The sequence below is a fragment of the Homo sapiens genome, chromosome 8 (assembly GCF_000001405.40).
Source record: "Homo sapiens chromosome 8, GRCh38.p14 Primary Assembly".
NCBI classification, from domain to species: Eukaryota; Metazoa; Chordata; class Mammalia; order Primates; family Hominidae; genus Homo; species Homo sapiens.
This window is the reverse complement of record NC_000008.11, coordinates 3,049,294-3,071,937: the sequence shown is the minus strand read 5'-3', so window position 1 is coordinate 3,071,937 and position 22,644 is coordinate 3,049,294. Positions and strand designations below refer to the sequence as shown.

The 22,644-nt window shown below is 38.9% G+C and overlaps 1 protein-coding gene across 5 annotated transcripts in view, besides 2 other annotated features; it reads left to right on the top strand.

Moving 5' to 3' along the window:
- The window catches only part of CSMD1 (CUB and Sushi multiple domains 1), a 2,059,554-nt gene that overhangs the window by 1,922,977 nt on the left and 113,933 nt on the right, over positions 1 to 22,644 (top strand). For all 5 annotated transcript variants that reach the window (XM_011534752.3, NM_033225.6, XM_011534753.4 and 2 more), the window contains one exon: positions 19,291 to 19,476. In XM_011534752.3, coding sequence (XP_011533054.1) covers positions 19,291 to 19,476 — 186 coding nt within the window. The remainder of the gene's footprint in view (positions 1 to 19,290; positions 19,477 to 22,644) is intronic.
- Positions 854 to 1,062: a silencer, noted in NCBI's record as "fragment chr8:2928398-2928606 (GRCh37/hg19 assembly coordinates)". NCBI's record gives its function as "represses an EF-1alpha promoter that drives an FKBP-Casp9 reporter gene in an ReSE screen in K562 erythroleukemia cells {active_cell/tissue: K562}" and the evidence as "EXISTENCE:reporter gene assay evidence [ECO:0000049][PMID:32094911]".
- Positions 12,713 to 13,429: an enhancer, noted in NCBI's record as "NANOG hESC enhancer chr8:2916031-2916747 (GRCh37/hg19 assembly coordinates)". NCBI's record gives its function as "activates a minimal SCP1, AML or CMV promoter by ChIP-STARR-seq in naive H9 embryonic stem cells {active_cell/tissue: H9 hESC(naive)}" and the evidence as "EXISTENCE:reporter gene assay evidence [ECO:0000049][PMID:30033119]".

Here is a 22,644-nt window from a genome sequence, read left to right as displayed (position 1 = left end):
GGAGTAAAACAGTAGAGATCAACTGAGGGGCACAGGAGTTTCAATTATGTGCACATGGTGCAGTGTTCTGTGATAGATGCTGCCTTCATAACTGGACAGGTTTGGTGACCAAATTATAAATATATGAAATGACGTATTTGCAATGAATCCATGGAGTAGAGTTCAGATGGACTGTCTGCATTTAGGCTGTTTTGATGTCAGGTGAATTAGTGGCTGTAATGGTGTTGATGAATGGTAGTTTTTTTGCTCACATTTTCCAAAAAGCCTTATGCATTCAAATGGAATGAATATTGCATTTATTTTTAAATTTGAAAATCATGTGAGAAATAATCCACTTGAGGTTGAAAATTACTTTGGGGCATATGGCTTGAGTTTCTATTTTTAAAAATGTATGTTAGACATACATTTTATCATTTTATTTTTTATTTTAAGTTCTGGGATACATGTGCAGAATGTGCAGGTTTGTTACATAGGCATACATGTGCCATGGTGGTTTGCTGCATCTGTCAACTCACCATCTTGGTTTTAAGCCCTGCATTCATTAGGTATTTGTCCTAATGCTCTCCCTCCTCTTGCTCCCCACCCCGTGATGGGCCCCGGTGTGTGATGTTCCCTTCCCTGTGTCCATGTGTTCTCATTGTTCATCTCCCACTTACATTTTAATGATCCTTTCAGCATGAAATTATATACATACTAATATATTTTGGATATTTGTCCCTGGCCAAATCTCATGTTGAATTGTAATGCCCAATGCTGGAGGTGGGCCTGGAAAGAGGTGTTTGGATCAAGCGGGTGGATCCTTCATGGCTTGGTGCTATCTTCATGATAATAAGTGTTTTTGAGACCTGGGTGTGTGGCATCCCCACCCACCTCTTGCTCCTGTTCTGGCCCTGTGACAGTGTGACATGGTTATTCCCCCTTGGCCTTCTGCCATGATTAAAATCTCCCTCAGGTCTCCCCAGGAGCTGAACAGATGCCAGCACCATGCTTCCTATAAAGCCCACAGAACCATGAGCCAATCAAACCTCTTTTTCTTATAAATTACCCAGTCTCAGGTATTGCTTTATAGCAATGTAAGAATTGCCTAATACAGAAAATTGGTACCAAGGAGTGGGACATTGCTATAAAGATACCTGGAAATGTTGAAGCAGCTTTGGAACTGGGTAACAGGCAGAGGTTGGGAAGGTTTGGAAACCTCAGAATAAGAAAGGGAGATAAAGGAAAGTTTGTAAATTCTTAGAGACTGGGTAAATAGTTGTGACAAAAATGCTAATGGTGATATAAACAATGAAGACCAGGCTGATGGGGTCTCAGATGGAAATGAGAAACTTCTTGGGAATTGGAGCAAAGGTCATGTGTGTTATGCCTTAGTGAAGAGCTTGGCTGCATCTTTCCCCTTCCCTAGGGATCTGTGGAACTTTGAACTTCAGAATAATGAGTTGGGTATCTGGTTAAAGAAATTTCAAAGCAGCAAAACATTCAAGATGTGGCCTGGCTGCTTTATACAGCCTATGTTCAAATACAGGAGCAAATAAATGACTTAAAGTTGAAATTTACATTTAAGCAGGAAGCAATGCATAAAAGTTTAAAAAATTTGCAGGCTGGCCGTGTGGCAGAGGAAGAAAAAAGCTTTTTCAGAAGAGGAGTTCAAGAAGGCTGTGGAGCAGCTACTTGTTAGAGAAATTTACATGACTAAAAGGGAGCTAAGTGCTAATATTCCAAAACAATGGGGAAAAGGCCTTGAAGGTATTTCAGAGACCTTTATGGCAGACCCTCCCATCAGAGACCTAGAATCCTGGGAGGAGAAGATGATTTTGTGGGCCAGGCCCAGGGCCCTACGGCCCTGTGAATCCTCAGGATGCTGCTTTCCGCATACTGGCTGTTCTGGCTCCATCTTTGAATCACAAGTGCCCAGGTGCAGCTCAGACCCCGTTCCGAAGGGTGCAAGCCATACACCTTGACAGCTTCCGTGTGGCGTTAAGCCTGTAGGTGCGCAGAATGCAAGAATGAAGAGTACCTGATAGCCTCTACCTAGATTTTGGAGTATGTATGAAAAACCCTGGGTATCCAGGCAGAAGCCTGTTGCAGGTGCAGAGCCCTCACAGAGAACCTCTACTAGGGCAGTGCCAAGGGAAATGTGGGGTTGAAACCCCATGCAGAGTCTCCAATGGGGCACTGCTTAGTGGAGCTGTGAGAAGGGATCACTGCCCTCCAGACCCTGAGAATGGTAGATCTACAAGCAGTTTGCCCCCTCAGCATGAAAAAGCCACAGGCACTCAACTCCAGCTGCTGAGATCAGCCTTGGGGGCTGCTCCCTGCAAAACCACAGAAGCAAAGCTGCCCAAGGCCTTGCGAAACCACCCCTTGTAGTGGTGTGCCCTGGATGTAAGACAGAGTCAAAGGAAGTTATTTGGGAGGTTTAAGATTTACTGACTGCCCTGCTGGGTGTCAAACTTGAATGGGGCATGTAATCCCTTTCTTTTTCTTTTTCTTTTTTTTTTTTCAGACAGAGTCTCACTCTGTCACCCATGCTGGTGTGCAGTGGTGTGATCTTGGCTCACTGCAACCTCCACCTTCCAGTTTCAAGTGAGTCTCCTGCCTTAGCCTCCCGAGTAGCTGGGATTACAGATGCCTGCCACCACACCCAGCTAATTTTTGTATTTTTAGTAGCGACAGGGTGTTCACCATGTTGGCCAGGCTGGTCTCAAGCTCCTGATCTCGTGATCCACCTGCCTCAGCCTACCAAAGTGCTGAGATTACAGGTGTGAGTCACTGCGCCCGGCCCAGCCCCTTTCTCTTGGCCAATTTCTCCCTATTGGAATGGGAAAGTTTGCCCAATACCTATATCTCCATTGTATCTTGGAAGCTACAAACTTATTTTTGATTTTCCAAGTTCATAAATGGAAGGGATTTGCCTTGTCTCTCCTTGTCTCAGATGAGGCTTAATACTGGAATGAGTTATGAACTTTTGGCTTCTGTTGGGAAGACATGATTTTATTTTGCAATATGAGAAGGATATGAGAATTGGGAGGGGTCAGGGGAGAAATAATATAGTTTGGATATTTGTCCCTGCCCAAATCTCGTGTTGAATTGTAATCCCCAATGCTGGAGGTAATGTCTGGTGGGAGATGTTTGGATCATGGGGGTGGATCCCTCACGACTTATTGCTGTCTTCATGATAGTGAGTTCTCACGAGATCTGTTCAGTTAAAAGTGTGTGGCACTTCCCCCTCAACTCTGTCTTGCTCCTCTTCTGGCCGTGTGAGAAGCCTGCTCCCCCTTGGCCTTCTGCCATGTTTGAAAGATTCCTAAGGCCTCCCCAGAAGCCAAGCAGATGCCAGCACCTTGTTTCCCGTACAGCCTGCAGAAACATGAGCCAACTAAATGTCTTTATAAATTACCCAGTCTCAGGTATTTCTTTATAGCAATGCGAGAATGGCCTAATACACATGTGCATATGTATTTATTTATTAATATTATGTCATTAATGGAATTTAGAATGCAACAGACTTTTCCTTAGTTTCCATGATGTGAAGTGTGGGGATTTTTTGTTAGAAGTCCTGAGTCTTGGAGAGTCTAAAAAAGTCATGGTTTTCTACACAAAGTGAGTGGTAAATTATGTTAGGTGAAAAAGTGACATATTCTTTGAAGCCTGTGGGATTCAACATACTGCAAAAAGAAAAAAGAAAAAAGAACATGAGCAAATCTATGAAGAAAGTTTTCACATTTTTTAGAAATGACAAGAAGAAAATTACCACAGAGAGAAATGGTGAAAACTACCTGAGACAGTGTTTGAACCTCTGTTCAAGCCATTTTGAAAAATCTGAAATAATTGAGGCATTAGTGACACATGCAGTGAGATTTCCCTTTTGGATAGAAATATAAGGGAAAAGGCAAACCATAAAATATTTTTTATTTTATTTATTACAACAAAAAGCCATTCTGTTATTGGGAAGGAACACACACTTCAGAGCTGGACATTTGGATTAGAGTCTGGCTTTACCCCTTACTAGATGAACTCTGGATAAATCATCTAATATTTCTGGACAACAGTGACCCCTGAAAATGGAGGGTAATAATATTGACTCATATTGTTAGTATGAGAATTCAGTAAGATAAATTAGGTAATTACAGCACATGGAACCAAGGATAGAAACCATAAAGTTGTAAAATTATTATTATTAAACATTAATATTTGATATAAACTATAATTGTTAAAACCACTCGTTTATTGTATATTTCATATACAATCTAGTTAGTGAATATAAATTTTTATTATATGTTAATTGAAGAATGTTGATCAATGTTATTATATATTTATATATTATATACTATATATTATACATTAATATGGTGAGAAGGATGGTGACATTAGAGTTGAGCTCACTTTAGATCAGGAGTACTGGGGTTTAAATTCTGATTCTCAGTTTACTGTTAAATGTCTGTGTGGACCTGGAGAAAATCATTCAATGTTTCTGCTTCTGAAATGGGACTTGCTTCAGTAAACCAATATAATCTCCTCCAACTTGAAAGAAGCATGAGCCTGCAAGGAAGCTACAGTGGACTATGATGAGATGGCTATGCTTGGAGTGCGGGGAGGCATCGAGGTCAAAAGATGGGCATTTGAGGCACAAAGGAAGTGAGAGCGTCTGGTAATGATTTGTACATGGTGGAAATGGTGGAAAAACGTCACGATAAGAGACAGAGTATCATGGTATCTCCTGTCTCACGCATGGGGCCTGGGAATAACATTGCCACGCACCTTGTTGGCTGACACTCTCAGACAGGTCGAGAGGTGCATACGTGGGGTCCATTCATTCCGTAGACTGATTGTATTGACCTCTTGTTCTGTGCCAGGCCCCAGGCTTAGCACCTGGCACAGGCTGAGCGAAAGAGATGAGGTTGAAGGAGGGGTGGTAAATCAGTTAACCTCTGAAAGCCTTTGTGGATTTTCGTCAGTCTGTACCTCTTTATTAGCAATTTAATTACACCCATCAACTTCTCTTAACTAGAAGCTCCTACTTAGCCTGATCAAAGACACTACAAGTAATAATTTCATATTAACTGTTAATAACTCTGACACTTCATTCCATGCATTTTTGAGGCCAGAGGAATTGTGGAGAAATGAGCTTAAATAAGAGTTTCCAATTTTCTGTGTAGCTCAGTTTTCTGTTCTCCGTGGAGTTTCCATTACCATGCAATTATCAGAATTGGTAATCTCCCTTATGACCAGCCTTCAGTCTGTTTGGAATCTACAGAGCCATTTGACAAATACGATTGTGTCCTGTGTTTTTAAAACAGGTGATTATTGTTTTACTAAAGCTATTACTCTCTTGTCTGTCTGTATTTGAAATTCCTCAGAAATTAAGACAAAATATCACAAGGAAGCCATGATTACTCAAGAATTAAAGGACCCCCAGAGTCCACTTCAAAATACATGTCGTCAGTTCATTTTACCTGCATGCGTAATGAATTCTTGTTGGCTGCAGGGTCTGTTCAAATGCGTAATGGAAAAGTCAGCAAGAAGGGAGTTCTCATTTGAGTTCTGTCACTGATTCTCTGTATCTTCATATGTGTGACTTATTCTCTGACCATGTTGAGCTTCAAATAGAGCTAAAACTATGAGATTTTCATGGAGTCATTTATTTGAATGAATCTAAATCTGTTTTAAATAATTACTGGAGTTTGGATATTGAAATGCTTCATTTCATTAGCTGTTGTAGTAGAAAAGTTAATGAAGCGGAGTTTAAGTGCCAAGAGAATTGTACACGATGCTAGAACCAGCAGCCCTTGGAAGCAGGGACAGACCTCAATAGGCCCGCACTCCTTTGAATTGTCCTTTGGCAATTTCTCTAATTGCCAATAGACAATTTTTCTGTAACCTTTGGAAATATGGTTGGAAAGTTGGCCCATTATTATGAATTTTTCATTTAAATGACTGAACAGTCATTTGCCATTGTGCTTATAGTTTATTTAGTGCTCGGAGAAAGACTCTGGCTGGCTTAGTGGGTGATAACCTCAAAGCTGTAGAAACTACGCTCTTCACTCATTTTCATTTATAATGAGCCAGATTTTATGGTTTCTGCTACTTGCCTTTTATCACTAGGGAATCTAGTTTCTCAGCTTTGTTAATACTTTTGATTTATCCATGCATTTTAGTTTATGCCTAATTTTCCTTTTATATTTTGAGAAAATACTTATCAGATGCTTTGTAGGCTATCTCCTATCTATCATCTTTCTTTCTCTGTCTTCCTGCCAATCAACCTAGCGATTGATCAATCAATCTGTCATTTTTTATCTATCAATCTATCTTCCTATCATCTTCCTATCTTTCTATCTTCCTATCGATCTGTGTATCTATGTATCTATCATCTATCATTTTCCTTTCTATATAACTATCCATCTGTGTATCCATCTTCCTATCATCTTCCTATCTCTTTATATATATCTATCTTCCTATTGTCTATCATTTTTCTATCTATATCTCTCTGTATGTATCTATCTTCCTATCATCTCTCTACTGATTTAGCAATCTATCCATCTACCTTTCTATCTTTCTTTTGACCTATTTATCTATCCACTTATCTATGTATCTATCTTTCTATCTGTTGTCTGTCTGTCTATCTATCTATCTACCTATCTATCTATCTATCTATGTATCATATTCCAGTCTTCCTCTCTGTGTATGTTCCTATCTTTCTATCTACTCTATCATCTGTCATTTATCTATCACTATATATCTTTCTTTTTATATATTTTTCTTTTTGAAATTTAATGATAGACACATTATTTGCTTATTTATGAAATGAGGATTTCCAGGTTTATTTCTTCTTTAGATGTGCCTGTGAAGATTCTAGTCCAGGTACATCTGTTTGTTTACTTTTTCCATTAAGTAAAAAGTTAGCCTGACCCACTGGAGAAGGAAGCATGGGCAAACTCCTCCAGCCATGTTTCCCAGTGCACATGGAATAGACTCGTTTTCAAAGTTTTGTTCTCTAATTTTCTCCCTTCCACATTGCTTATACCCTGGGAATAAAAGGAAAAAAAAAGATTTTTGGTCCTTGATTCTGAAACTAAGCCCCTAACTTGTCTTTAATGCCTACTTTATTGAGATTTTAAGTTGGAATTTGCTTAACCTCATGCTGGTTATTTCTAAATAATCAGAATCACATTTTCGGAAAGAACCCATAAAGCATTTCTTGCAAAACCATGTAAGGATTTGTAATGGCCAACTTTGAGAAAATGCGGGGATGTTTTTATTCTCAGCAGCTGGTTTGCTTACTGTAGTCAACATTCTTATCAACCTTCCACGTTTGGATCATATGTTTATTTCTTCTTTATTTTCTGTGTTTACTATTCTTATTAATTGTATTAATCCATTCTCACACTACTAGAAATAACTACCTGAGACTGGGTAATTTATGAAGAAAAGAGGCCTAATTGACTCACAGTTCTGTAGGCTGTACAGGAAACGTGGCTGGGAGGCCTCAGGAAACTTACAATCATGGCAGAAAGCGAAGGGGAAGCAAGTCCCTTCTTCACATGGCAGCAGGAGGGAGAGAGCTAGGGGCGAAATGCCACAGGCTTTCAAACCATCAGATCTCCTGAGAACTCACTCACCATCATGAGAACAGCTGCCTTCATGATCCAGTCACCTCCCACCAGGCCCCGCCAATTCAACATGAGATTTGGGCAGGTACACAAATCCAAATCATATCTTTAATATGTAGCCAAACTTCAGATCAATGTTTTGAGAATTTATCAGGCCTTGAAAGTTCATTTTGTTGAAAACGTATTCAGTAACCTGTGTCCTCTAAGAGGCAGCTTGAGCTGTGCTTGCTGCTTCATTTCTTCACCTGTAAATGAAAGAGAATGAAAATTGAAAAGTACTGATTGGCTATTGTGCAGCAAGACTTAATGTTCCCTATCTAACTTTATCCTAATGACCGTGCATCTGTGGCATATAGTTATTATTTTTCATTTTTAAGTGTACAGTTCAGTGGTGTTAAGTACATTAACAAGGTTGTATAATCATCACCACTGTCCATCTCTGGTGGACTATTCTAACTTGCAAAACTGAAACTCTGCACATATTAAACAAGTTCCCATTCCTCCTCCTCCAGCCCCTACAAGCCATCATTTTACTTTGTCTCTCTGAATTCAACTACTCTAGGCACCTCACATAAGTAGAATCACATAGTATTTGTCTTTTTATGGCTTCACTTCGCATAGTGTCTTCAAGATCATCATGTTGTAGCATGTGGTGTGTCAGAATTCCCTTCCTTTTTAAGACTGAGTAATAACCCACTGTGTGTAGAGGCTACATTTGGTTTAGCCATTCATCTCTTGGCAGACACTTCGATTGCTTTCATATTTTAGCTATTGTGAATAATGCTACTAGGGACATAACTGTACAAGTTTTTAATCCTTTTGGGTATTTAGCCAGAAGTGCAATTTCTGCATCATATGGTAATTCTATTTTTAATTTTTTGAGGAACCACCATAGGTCATCAACAGTGGCTGTATTGTTTAACAGTCCTATTGACAGTACACAAGGGTTTCAATTTTATCACATCTTTGTCAGCACTCATTATTTCCTAGTTTTTGCTATCGTTTTTATTCTTATTTTGCAGAAGGTAAAACTGAAGCTGAAATAGGTTAAGTCACTTGTTCATTATCAGAGACAACATGTGCTTCTGGGCTTGACTAGTTTACCAGAGTATGCCCAACAAGCCCACTTATCAGGGAGGATGAGGATAGGCTCCAAAATGCAGATTCCCTTTGAAATCGGCCACAAAGAGCGTGCATAAAATCCTTCTGTAAGTTTTTATGATACGAGATTGATTAAATGCTTAGTGAGCCTGGGACTCTTGGGTTCCATAGGACATTGGTGGTTGGCATCCGAATCAGAGTTTTTTATGACACACAGCAGTGTCACTTTACGTTCCTCCAGCTTTTTTTCTCTAGGAATTTTCTTTTTATTGAATAAATCTTTGTTTTATATTCCGAAAAAAAGACAGTTTAAAAATGTTTGTACCTGTCTCTTTTGAACAACACTCTAAAAGTAGATGGGTAAAAGTCAGTTACTTGCACAGCTTTGGCTGAGCAGCCAATTTACCCCTGAGTAAACATTCTAGAGGCTTTATTTGCCAAGCCAGAGCCTTTCACTGTAATAATTAGCTGTTTATTTGCCAACCCTATTCTGCTGCCTTCTTTTTCATAGCTTTTTTGTCTGTTTCAAATTCATAAATGCTTTTTTTTCTTCCTTGGGTTATGAAGTGCTAGATATTTTCAAGAGGATTAGAACATCTAAAGATACTTCTCGCTCAATCCTATTATCCTCAATTTTGCATTTCATAGCTGCTGGGCTTTTTTTTTTTTAATGTGTTTTGTTTTGTTGTTGTTTTTAAGTTTGCTTTAGTGTCTGCAAAAGCCAAGTCATTAGTTCCCTCTATGGACATTCATTTTCAGACACACTTTTCTTTATCCTTTCAAACAAACGGAAGAATATTTCTGTTGCTGGTGTTTACTCCTTGGAAACACCCGACATCGCACCACCTACACATAGTAAAGAAAAGCAGTGTGACCAGTTCTATCCCCGTGGGTGGAGAGGTGGCTCCGTACTGCACCTCCTCTCTTGCTGTTATTTTCTATCTCAGCCTTCAGCATGGTATTAATGGTATATTGGATGATGGCTACATGTCAAATAAGATGTTTCTTGGTGCCTAATTATTCCAAGAAAATATTTTGGAAATCAAAGATAAGGGAGGAAAATAGAAAAAAAAGAAAGGACCCAGAAATATTCCCATTAATGCTCAAATTCAATGTGGCCTTTGTATTTTCAGAATCATATTTGAAAATGTATTTCTAAGTGATTGATTGAATGTTGATAGGTGGACATTGAAAATAACAGTAAATATACATATGGTGAAATAAGTCAGGTGTAGCCCAGAGACAGCACAGGAGAGTAACTGAAAGGCAGGCTTCGTCATCAGCTACTCTGATATCTGACCCCTCACAGAGCCGTTTACTAGTCATAAGAATGTGGGTGATTTGCATAATGTTCTAATGCCCACTTTTCTTACAAGTAATAAAAAAAATAGAGTCTATCTTGTAGGGTGTTACCAAGATTAAATGAAGTAATGCAATTAGAAAAACTTTTCACAATGGCAGGGAATTTGTATTTGATCAATGATGTCAGATATTATACTGATAAAGGCAGTAATGTTGAAACATAGAGATTTCGCTATAACTTTGTCATTTCTACCACCTGTGTATATGACTTTCTGAGTCATGGGGTCAGTGCTTTATTGTATATGGATCGGTGCTGGTTCGTGTAAGCTCAAGATGTCATATGATTGAGGAGACACTGTCAACCCCTGGCCAACTGTGGATTAAGCTTCACGTCTCCCAGTGTTTGCTCGAGTGCATCCTAAATTCCATTGACAGTGGCATAAGGGGATATCCACGGTGCAGAGAAAACATTTGATGGTAAATGTCCCGAACATTCTGATGAAAAGTAAAAATATTCTTTCATATTTATTTAGGTTTTAGCTGACCTTCATTTAAAAACCAGAAAAATGCTTTCTTTTACATTAAATCTGAAGGAAAATTATTATTTCTCATGACAAAATAATAAATGTGACTATTTGCTGCTGGCCTAGTAGGGTCCAGATGTTTTGCTTTGTAAACTGTACATCTGTCAAAGAACCCCTGCTGAGGAGGTATGGGTGATTTGTGTTTTGCAGGTGAGGAAGCAAAGGTTTGGATACTTTATATACATTGTCCGAGTCATAAACAAACAGACAAATACCAAACTCAGACTTTGCTATGTCTAAATCTATGTTCTTTCAAGCATCCTATTCTGTTTCTATAACATATTATAAACATTAGTATAAAATAACTATACAAATCTTTAGTTCCTACACATATATGTGCATATTTGATCATGGTTTCACACCATTGTTCACTTTGAGGTAACAAACATGAAGCTGAAATTGACAGACACTTCACAGCATACCCACAGCATCTCTCCTCCGGAGAGAGGAATGCCGTGTCATCACATGGCAGGAGGCAGGAGGACAAAATGGCATGACTCTGCTCCATAAAGCCCTTTTATAGGGACACCTAATCCCATTCACAAAGAAAGAGCTCTCATGACCTGATCACCTTTTAAATGCCCCACCTCTTAATACTATCATATTGAAAACTGAATTTTGGAGGAGATGCATTCAAAGCATGATGGGGGCTATCACCTGTATCAGATTTGAAATACCTGATTGTTTCCATAGCACAAGTTGATGGAGAAAGTGAAACATGAATTTAAGTCTCTGAAATCAAATTTCAAGTGCTTGTAAACCAACTTACAACAATCATGCCTGTGAGCAAGTCTAACTTCCTAGCCAAGTAAGTGGTCTGTTCTAATAGTAATTTTTTATTATTTAAAAGTTGTTAATAGACAGTGGCTCATGCCCATAATCCCAGCACTTTGTGAGACGAAGGTGGGTGGATCACTTGAGTTCAGGAGTTCAAGGAGTTCAGGAGTTCAAGGAGTTCAAGGAGTTCAGGAGTTCAAGATCAGTCTGGCCAACATGGTGAAACCCTGTCTGTACTAAAAATACAAAAATTAGCTAGGCACAGTGGTGCACGCCTGTAATCCCAGCTACTCAGGAGGCTGAGACAGGAGAATCGCTTGAACTCGGGAGGTGGAGGTTAGAGTGAGCTGAGATCACACCACTGCACTCCAGCCTGGGCGACAGAGTGAGACTCAGAAAAAAAAAAAAAAAAGTTGTTAGTAATTTTTAGGACAGGCTCAATGTATAGTCTTAGCTATGTAATCTCACAATTTGAATAAGGCATAGAAAGAGCCGGAAAGTACTTTATTCCAGTTTGCGGTAAATGTTAGAAATACTTCATGGTCTTCACTTGCTGCCTGCCCTTCCTTCTCAGTTCCAGACCTAATACCCACTGCCTAATTGCAGTACCCACTGTGCCTCACGATCCCACTGCTAAGATAAAACTCCTTTCTCCCCTGAATCTACTTGCCCTGAAGTGAATCCCGTTTGAGAAATTAGCATCTCAGTCTATCCAACTGCTTGAATCACTTCTCTCTCTTGCTTGCACATAAAGTCTTTCCTGTGACTCCCACACCCTGTTGGTCCCAGCTACTCAGTGGGTCCAAGTCCATCCACATCTTTCCCCTCCCCCAGTCCACTCTCCTCTCTCTCATGGGCTGCCCTACTGGGCTTCCTACGTCTGCCCCACTCAGGACCCTCTCTCCGTTCATCTCCTGATGGCAACCAGAGGGTTTTATCAGGTCACAAATGAGTTGGTGTCACTGCCCATCTTCAAACTCTGAAGGGTGTCCTGACGTGCCTCCTATAAGCTACATGCCTGTCACCTGGGCCCTGAGTCGTGTGTCCCCTCCTCTCCTCTCCAGCTTATCCCACAGCATTTTCGCTTCACAGCGGCTCACAAACAGCCCACATGACAATCATTTCTCGAAAACTGTTAACTGAGAGGCTGTCCTGAGGATGTTGCTTAAAAAGCATGAGTTGTTGCAGAGAAAAGCAGAGAAAAAGTTGTGCAGGGAAGGGAGTGCAAGGATCACCTTATAAAGACAGAAGCCCTCGTGTTTTTGGTAAACGTTTATCCTGGTTTTTTAAGGGCACTTTTTTTTTTTTTTTGATGTCTGGGGTGCCTGCTTCTTATGTTACTTTTAATATTTTTCCTTATTTTTTTTTAGTTCTTAACAAGCCATTATTATTAATAGTCGTGCTAAAATACGCTTTGATGGGATGGGGAGACCTTCATTTGCACTTGCAGCGTCTCCTATGGTCTCATCCAATAGTGAGGAGACACATGCGGGGAACAGGATTCTCACTTTAGCGCAGGGTTAGCGGAAAAAAAAATCACCAACACATCCTCCTTTCCCCAAACATGTCAACATCCAACATCACACCTTCCTTTTAAAGAGAGGGCTGGTTGTTGAGCAAAGTGCATTCAGAGAAGCAGCAAGGGGTAGTAAACCCTTCAGAATGGAGGAGGAGGTGGGAGGTCCCTGCAGGGTACTTGAGGCATTTGTGTGGATCCTGCTAGGACACTCAGCAGGGGAATTATATAGCAGGTGTTTGTAAACCGTGTGTGGGCAAAGGCTTAGCAGCCTCCCTAGGGCATTTAGGATAGTCTAAATCCTTGCTCCTCCGAGACCACGCAGCCTGTTAGAAAAGTAGAGTCTCAAATCTCCCCCTCCCCCAGATGTACTTCATCAGGATATTAGTGCCATCAGCATGGCCTGGGGATAAGGAGCACATTAATGTTTGAGAAGTTGTGGCACAAACATTCTTTCTAGAGGCCTGGTATTTATTGCATGGTAAATCGACAACTGTGTATTTTTTCCTGTCTTAGCACCTTATATGTTGCGATTAAACCATTTGTCAGCAATTAGCACCAAAAAGGATCATGTTTATTGAAAAATTAACTAGTGATTGTTTTCGTGTATCAAGAAAGTTGGTAATGCAAATTGTAATGATTGCAAAATATTTGTATATATTTACTGTCTACCCACAAATACGGGTCTAATATTCTGGTTTCATGGGCCTCAGAATGCACAGATCTGTTGAAGCAGCATTGATATTTATTTTTAAAGTACTAGTAATTTTAAGAAGACAATGCACACGGTAATTTAATACAGACAACTATAGAAAGTGCAGTTATATATAACTTTGTGAAGCAATATTTTTATTTAAATAAATATTTGCTAAATTACAAACAGTTGCACACAATAGCACTACCAATCAGATGAGAATAGGACTCGCTGGTTGAAGCCAATTTTCTGCTCTAGAGTAGGCTTAAATAGGTGCAGAATAAGAAGAATATTTGGGGTAGAACGGAAGAACCCAGAGAAAACTAAGGCAAGAAAGTGAGAATAAGCCGACTGGGCGGCGTGGATACTTGGCGAGGGTCTGCTGGCCAGGCGGTGGAAAGTTACGGAGAGTAGGGGAAGGTTTTGGTGAGGTTTGAAGACAAAAAATGTAGTTTTTGTTCAGTGTCGCGGGAAATAAGGAACCACTATAAATTTTTAAACTGAAAATGAAATTATGAAAACTTCAGTGAAGACTAATCTGATAGATTTAAAATTGAAAATACATAATCACAATAGTCCGGGCATCTTTAGTAATGGGATGAGAAAGTCTACCTGAATTCAGCAGAACCGTTTTGAGGCCTCAGCCTTTTAATGACTATTAGACTTGGGGAAAATGATATAAAAAATGTTAGCATCTGTAACTTTATCTGTAAGAAAGTCGAATAACGTTTGTATCTAATAGGCTTGTAGTGAAAATTAAGTAAAAAAGCATGATGTGAAAACACTATAACTATAAAATCATGTATAAAATAAGACATAATTACACATATGTACTTATATATGTTTTCTCAGACATATAGCTATAAGTGTGTATACATATATATATACACAAACACACACACATACCTGCAAATACACATATAGTTGATGATTCCCTTAAGTTAGTGTTTCCTAAGGTGTTTTAATGACCCTGATTTTGAATTTAATTATTTGATTATAATCTTACTAAATATATACAAACATAATGTTTTGCGTGCATATTTGTATTTGCAAGTTAAATGCATATTTAACTTACACAATTCAAATTGAGGAAAATAACCATTAAGATGATGATGTTTTTATGAAATTCAATTATTACTTGAAAAATTATATATGATACTCATAGGTATTTACCACGTGTGTGTGTGTTTGCGTGTAAAATGAGTCCATCTTTTCAACATTTCTTACCATATAAGCATTATATGGCTTATATTTGTGGAAGTTTCTGTATAGTCACTTATTCTTCTCTTGAAGCAAACCCATGATTTCTCCATTATCTGTCTCTAATATTTTTCTCTTTAGGCTGCAAAAAATTAACTGTTATTTCTTGGCCCAACATGAACATAAACTCAAAAACAAATGGCAGGCACTAATATTGTATAGTACAACCTATGTAGATAGTAATCTAGAATATTCTTATATTACAATTTTGATTAGCATTTATATGTGTACATATATTTATACTTCTATATACATATATAATTTTAATAAAAAATTCTTAAATACTTTGGAAATACTTGAAAATCCTAACATTCATATGTGTATACATATTTAAAGTTATATATACATATTCATATAAATACGTATCTTTAATAAAAAATTCTTACATTGGAAATACTTAAAAATCCTCAGAAATCCTCAGGCTGGCCAGGCACAGTGGCTCATGCTTGTAATCCCAGCACTTTGGGAGGCTGAGGCAGGAGGATGGCTTGAGCCCAGGAGTTCAAGACCATTCTGGGTAACATAGTGGGACTCAGTCTCTCCAAAAAAATACAAAAAATAGCCAGGCGTGGTGGCCTGGGCCTGTAGTCCCCAGCTACTGGGGATGCTGAGGTGAGAGGATGGGTTGAGTTCAGGAGATTGAGGCTGCAGTGAACCTGGACTGTGCCACTGCACTGCAGCCTGAGTGACAGCGAGACCTTGTCTCAAAAAGAAAAAAAGAAAAAAACAGAGAAACGTTTTAAGCCTGCGGAAACAAAGTTAACCACTATTTGAAGGATCTTAGATATCCAAAGAAGAAATCCCATGTGGGGTTTGTGGTATTAAAGGTTCAGACAACACTGGACGTCTCTTCTACTTACTTTTTTGAAATCAAACTGTTACACCTCTCATGAGATATGTAAGTGAAGTAAGCCATCTTACTACCTACCAACTTACTCTTTGCTCTCTTTAATAAGTAGATAACAGAGAGTTAATCCTTGCAACTAATATTTTTATTTGCAAATAAATAAGTAAAAATTTTATGTGTGTATGTGTAATACAAAACATATTCTGCCTATAACATAATTATTAGATTTTCTGCGTATAATAATTTGTCATTGATTGAATGCCTATGTCGTGTGGACAGAGGGCTCGCATTTTGTAAGGATGATTTCATTGAACCCTCCTGATTACCTTTTGACATAGGTCTTAATAACCTGAGCGTAAGAAGACAACGTTCATTAAGTAAGTTAGCTGAAGCCACACTGTTATTGAGAGGTACAGCAAGAACTGACTCAGAAGTCTGAGTTTGAGGCCTGTGCTCCCAAACAAAATTTAACTTTACAGGATCAATAAATGATTATTCGCCTAAGCTGCTGGGACATATAATAATACCTTAGTACAACTAAAGAAAAAACAACTGAGGAATTTTACTCTCTTTGGATATACCAAATGTAAGGAAATTCTCCAAACTGTGAAAGTTTCTTACATTGCCAATGCTAATTCGCATTTTTAAAAAAATAGTGATCTATGGATGCCTATCCTATAGCAATCATGCAAAATTTTGGGAATAAATGAGAGATGAATGAATACTAAACTTGAGCAGGAAACTGTCTTCATCCCATGAGCCTGATTTTAGTCCATAAGGATTATGCTGTGTCTCCATTAAATCAGAAGTGTTATAATTCTACTTTTGACCCATTGCCAACCGTTATTTTAAATCTACCAAATAGCCTTTTGTTAAGACGCTTAAGGGGCTAAACACTGTGGTTCAAAACCATAAAAAGATTCCCGGTTGTTGATCAGGCAACATAAAATGGGTTGTCTTAAGACCTGGGCAAGCAGGGGTTCACTTCTCAAATAAGCATCCAGATGTAACAGAAGGGGCTATAAAGATCTTCTGCTTTGGTCTCCCGAGTATGAATTGTTTTGTGATGGGGCTTCATCTGTGTTTGTAGAATGTCATCTTTCCCATTTCGTCCGATAGAAAAATGTCATTTCTTTCCCTGCTCTGCCCAAATGAGAATTTTAAGGAAGCTGAACACTGCGCACATTCCAGCCAGCGAGTGGGAGAAAAATTAAGGCTTGCGATCATGAACACGTGATTTTCAGAGTGAAATCTGAGAGAAAATGATGAGGAAGCTAGATATTGGAACATTGTGAGATACAGAAAAGAAAGGATGGGTCTCTGGCATTTACTGCATTCAGGAAATTAAGATGAATATTTTCCACATGCCAACAGTCTTCCCACAGATCTGTTGCTTCCACAGAGCCAAAGATGATTATTTATTATTTGAAATGCTTTGCCCCAAATGATGCCTTTATGTCTGTGGTTTTTCGTTTTCCTTCTACTGCAAATGGATTATTGTAGTATGCCATACACACATGTACTACACACATGTACACACACGTACACACGTGCGCACATGGACACATGTACACACATGTAAATATGCATGTGCACACACACACACGCATGTGTTTTTTGTTTGTTTTTGAGACAGGGCCTTGCTCTATCACCCAGTCTGGAGTGCACTGGCATAATTTCAGCTCACTGCAACCTCTGTCTCCTGGGCTTAAGCAGTCCATCCACCTCAGCCTCCTGAGTAGCTGGGACAACAGGTGTGTGCCACCACATCTGCCTAATTTTTGTATTTTTGGTAGAGACAGGGTTTCACCATGTTGCCCAGGCTAATGTAGAACTCCTGGACTCAAGCAATCCTCCCGCCTCAGCCTCCCAAAGTGCTGGGATTACAGGCATGAGCCACTGTGCCCGGCCCACATGTATTTTTGATGGTTGCAGTACCTGATCATCCATTTAAACATGAGACATTTTAGAGCTTGAAATTTCCAGGAGTTTGGATTTTATTGGGGAATACATTTTCTTTTACTTCTCTGGCAATTTCCCATTGTATTTATTTAATATTTTGGTAAAGAAGAAAGAACCAATACAGCAAACCAAGGAACTCCAACAATACCGGAGATAACCTGTGCTTTTGCAGAAGAGAGAATAGTCTCGTTTGGGAGTCATAAGATTTGCTCTCTGGCCAGAGGTTACTAAGTCATTGTGTCACCTTAGGTTAGTCATTTTCTTTATATGTAGAATTATGTGTTTATATACATTTCTTCATCCAGCCCTTCCCGCTCTATCTTGTTACACAGATATTCTCATTAGAATCTACATGGGAAAAATTTGAACTATCTGAATTTAAATCCATGGTGTGAACAATATCTTTAATACTGATTGAGTAAAAGAAGGCTCTTTATTTAGTTACCATAGAACTTTTCTTTTATGAGTGCAGCTGAAGTGGGTACGTGATTATTGAAATGTCACCCTCTGCCTGCTTGTTGGCTTCATGACTGTCACATGTAATCGTTTGAGAATTTTTTTCTTGTCCCATAGTAGATACATCTGGATCAGACATAGCAAATTTAAGAAGAAAGGGTTTACACAGAATTCTCCCCAAATCTTGTTTTTTATAAAACCTCATCTGCATGCATACCTCTTTCTTGCATGGTCTTTCCCGTGAAAGCGGTCCACATCCCCACTAGATGCTGCCTTCTGCCCTGGGAATCTTCCCCGAGTGCCTCCTCTATCAATTCCTTATGTCGTGTTTTCTTGTAACAGAACTTCCTGGGGCTTTAGGGAAAATGAATTGGGGAAGGGGAGAGGAACAATAAAAAGGGAAGACTTTTCAGAGCTGAGGCGGCTGATTCTTAGGAATTTCGACACCAAAGAGTCTACACTGCAATAAGCATTGTGATGATAAAGATGCTGCTTCATCCCTTCTTCTTTCTTTCCAATATGAGATGAAGTTGAGTGTGTGACATTGTGCTCCCGTGGCCACACCCTCTGATAAAATATGTCAGACTGCGGCTAAGCTGCATGAGAGTGGTCAGTCTTATCTTCCAGAAAAATAATTATGAAGAGCTTTTATTCTGACCCATTTTCCATTGTTCCTCATTTAACCTTTAATATACTTAAGATTTTGAAAATGTGTATACTTATCCCATACCCTAGAAATAGAATTCATGCTGGGCATGGTGGCTCACGCCTGTAATCCCAGCACTTTGGGAGGCTAAGGTGGACGGATCACCTGAGTTTGGGAGTTGGCAACCAGCCTGGCCAACATAAATAGTCTGTACTAAAAATAGAGAATTAGCCAGCATGGTGGTGTGCACCTGTAATCTCAGCTGCTTGGGAAGCTGAGGCATGAGAATCACTTGATCACTTGAACCCAAGAGGTGGAGGCTGCAGTGAGCTGAGATCGAGTCATTGCACTCCAGCCTGGGAGACAGCACAAAACTCTTGTCTCCAGAAAAAAAAAAGAAAGAAAAAAAAAGAAATATAATTCACAATTTTAATGAAAAATGGAGTCAATAATAATGATTAATCAATCAATGGTTTTAATAGCTGGAAAATAATTTCTGTAAGAATAAGCCTACATTTGTTTCATTTCTTTTCAGCTGTGTCCTGTGGAATCCCAGAATCCCCAGGAAACGGTTCATTTACCGGGAACGAGTTCACTTTGGACAGTAAAGTGGTCTATGAATGTCATGAGGGCTTCAAGCTTGAATCCAGCCAGCAAGCAACAGCCGTGTGTCAAGAAGATGGGTTGTGGAGTAACAAGGGGAAGCCGCCCACGTGTAAGCGTAAGTGTTCAGGGGCATCTGCCCATCTTTGTGGGTTTAGGTGGGAACTGAATGCTTTCGGGAGAAGTCCGGGTTCCCACGTTCAGAGGTCCTCTCCCACACCTTGTGAGGATTTGGTGTCTTTCATCATAGCAATATTAAAACCAATGTATTTCATATAAAATATTTTCAGCCATTTAGAATGAGCTATGCACTCTTGAATGTTAGGTGAATCCTAAATATAGACAGTATAGACACGATGTAATTTGCACATCACATCCTATTCTGTGCTGCCATTTTCAATCTGGAGGGATGAAATCTAGAGGAAATTGAGACATTAAGCCCTGCAATAAGACTGTACTCAAGATGTTAAAACATAATGTAACACAATCTTTCCTATTTATCTTCCATATAATTTTAAGTTCTTTGAAGTCAAAAGCAGTGCCTCATTTATTTGTGTATCACCTGCTCTGCATAACACATCGATGCTCAGTAAATAAAGCATTAATTTGATTTGTGAAGTGGGGTAAGTTTTCGAGAAAGCTATTTACAGTCTATAGTAATAATCTTAAAAGAGTAACAAATTGGAGTACTTTCTGAAACTCTAGTCTTATGGAATAATAGTCTGTTATGCAAAACCCACCAGAAGAATAGTTCCACTCACATACACACTAAATTTCTACAGCAAGATTTTCATTGCAGGTATATTAAAACTAGACTCAAATTGGAAATAATGTAACTTCCCAATTTTTCTAAGTTAAAAACTATATAACATTTCTGTATAGACAATGAATTTTTATGGTTCTATAATCTTTTTCATTTAATATATCATGTATGTCTTTACATGTCAGTACATATAGAATGATCTCCTTTAAAAAAAAACTTTATTTTAGGTTCAGGGATACATGTGCAAGTTTGTTATATAGGTGAACTACGTGTCACAGGGGTTTGGTGTGGAGATAGTTTCCTCAGCCAGGTAATAACCATAGTACCCAAGAGACAGTCTTTGAATCCTTACCTTCCTCCCACCCTCCACCCTCCCATAGGCCCCAGTGTCTGTTGCTGCCTTCTTTATGTCTGTGTGGACTCAATGTTTAGCTCCCACTTACAGGAGAGAAAATGTGCTATTTGGTTTTCTGTTCCTGCATTAGTTCACTTGGAATAATGACCTCCAGCTCCATCCATGTTGTAAAGGACATGATCTCACTGTTTTTATGGCTGCATAGTATTCCATGATGTGTATGCATCACATTTGCTGTATGCAGTCTACCACTGATGGGCATTTGGGTTGATTCCATATCTTTGCTATTGTGAATAGCGCTGCAGTGAACATACATGTGCATGTGTCTTTATGGTAGAACAATTTATATTCCTTTGGGTATATACCCAGTAATGGGATTGCTGGGTTGAATGAGCATTCTATTTTAAGTTCTTTGAGAAATCACCACACTGCTTTCCACAATGGCTGAACTAATTTACACTCCCACCAGCAGCATGCAAGTGTTCCCTTTTCTCCACTGCCTCACCAGTATCTGCTATTTTTTTACTTATTTACAATGATATTTTTGCGCCAGTGATACTAGCAGAAGGATTCACATAGTCTTCAATAATAAAGTCAGATCATTGGCTTCTTTTTGTCTACAGTATTTTGGTCATGTTAAAAATTTTAAACTAACTTATATCCATATACTTAGATATAAATAGACAAACAATTATGGAAGGCGGTTGAGTTCTTCCCAAAAGCTTTTATTTTTCTTTATTTCATCATTTTTATTGCATTTCCTGAGAGTCAGACAATATTGAATCAACATTAGTATTTCTTGGTTATTTTCTATTTAAGACGGTACTATTTTATTGCAATTAAGTAATAGTATGGGAGGCTAGGATAGCAAGATACATTGGTATGTTTTTTGAGTTCAGTCCTAAACAGAACTATTCTCTCAAAATAGGAACTTAACAGATGGCAATATGTATATGTTTGGGGTTGATTTTAATAAGAACAATGTCCCAGACATTTATGGACAATGTTTCTTTTGCACACAGCCTGGAGGTCATTCATAATGATGCCTCCATTTTTAAAGTCTGTATTTCCTGCCAAATATTTCAAATAGCTTATCTACAAAACTCATAAAAACCCTGAAAAACTGGGACACAAATGAGGTGAAAACTACTAATTTGCAGATTTGAAGTTGGAATTCTACTCCCTCTTGTTCTAAATCCTATACCCCTTTTATAATGCCAGTGGTTCTCTACTGGGTATGCACTGAAATACTCTAGAGAGATTTAAAGTAAATGTTAATGTCCAGTTTTGACCCTTAGGGATTCTGAGGCAACTGGTCTTAGGTGGAGACCAATCATCAGTTTTTTTTTTTTTTTTAAGTTCTCTAGGTGTTATGCATAAAATGTCAAGTATATGCCATGTTTTAAAGGAAAACCCACTTTAAATTTGTATACTATCTGAGAAAGACTTGCTAAATGACAAGGTCACTTTATAAAATGTAATTTTTATTTTCAGAGCTTTCGTTTCTTTGTTTGACAGACGTTGTTCTCGAGAGTAGTTTTAGGTTCACAGCAAAATTGAATGGAAGACACAGAGATTTCCCATAAAACACACCGTCCGCAACATGTGCATACCTCCCCACTATCAACACCTCACACCAGAGTGGGGTGCATGTTACAATGGATGCACCTACATTGACATACCATCATCACCCAGAGCCCAGCGTTCACATGAGAGCTCATTTTTGGTGTTGCACCATCTGTGGGCTTGGACAAATGTGTAATGACAGGGATCCACCATGATAGTATCACACTTAAAGTCTCCTTTGCCCACCCATTCACGCCTAAAGTGACTTTTGTGGCCCTTAAAGTCTCCTGTGCTCCACCCATTCACGCCTTCCTGCATCCAACCCCTGACAAACACTGACCTTGATCTTTCATCTCCATAGTTTTACCTTTACTAGAATGTCATATATTGGGAATCATCTGGCACCTAGCCTTTCAGATTGGCTTCTTTCACTTAGTAATAAGCGTTTAAGTTTCCTCCATGATTTTGCATGGCTCTAGCTCTCATTTCTTTTTAGTACTGAACAATATTCCATTGTCTGTATGGACCATGGCTTATTTACCCGTTTACGTACAGACAACATCTGGGTTGCTTCCAAGTTTTACAATTGTGAATAAAGCTGC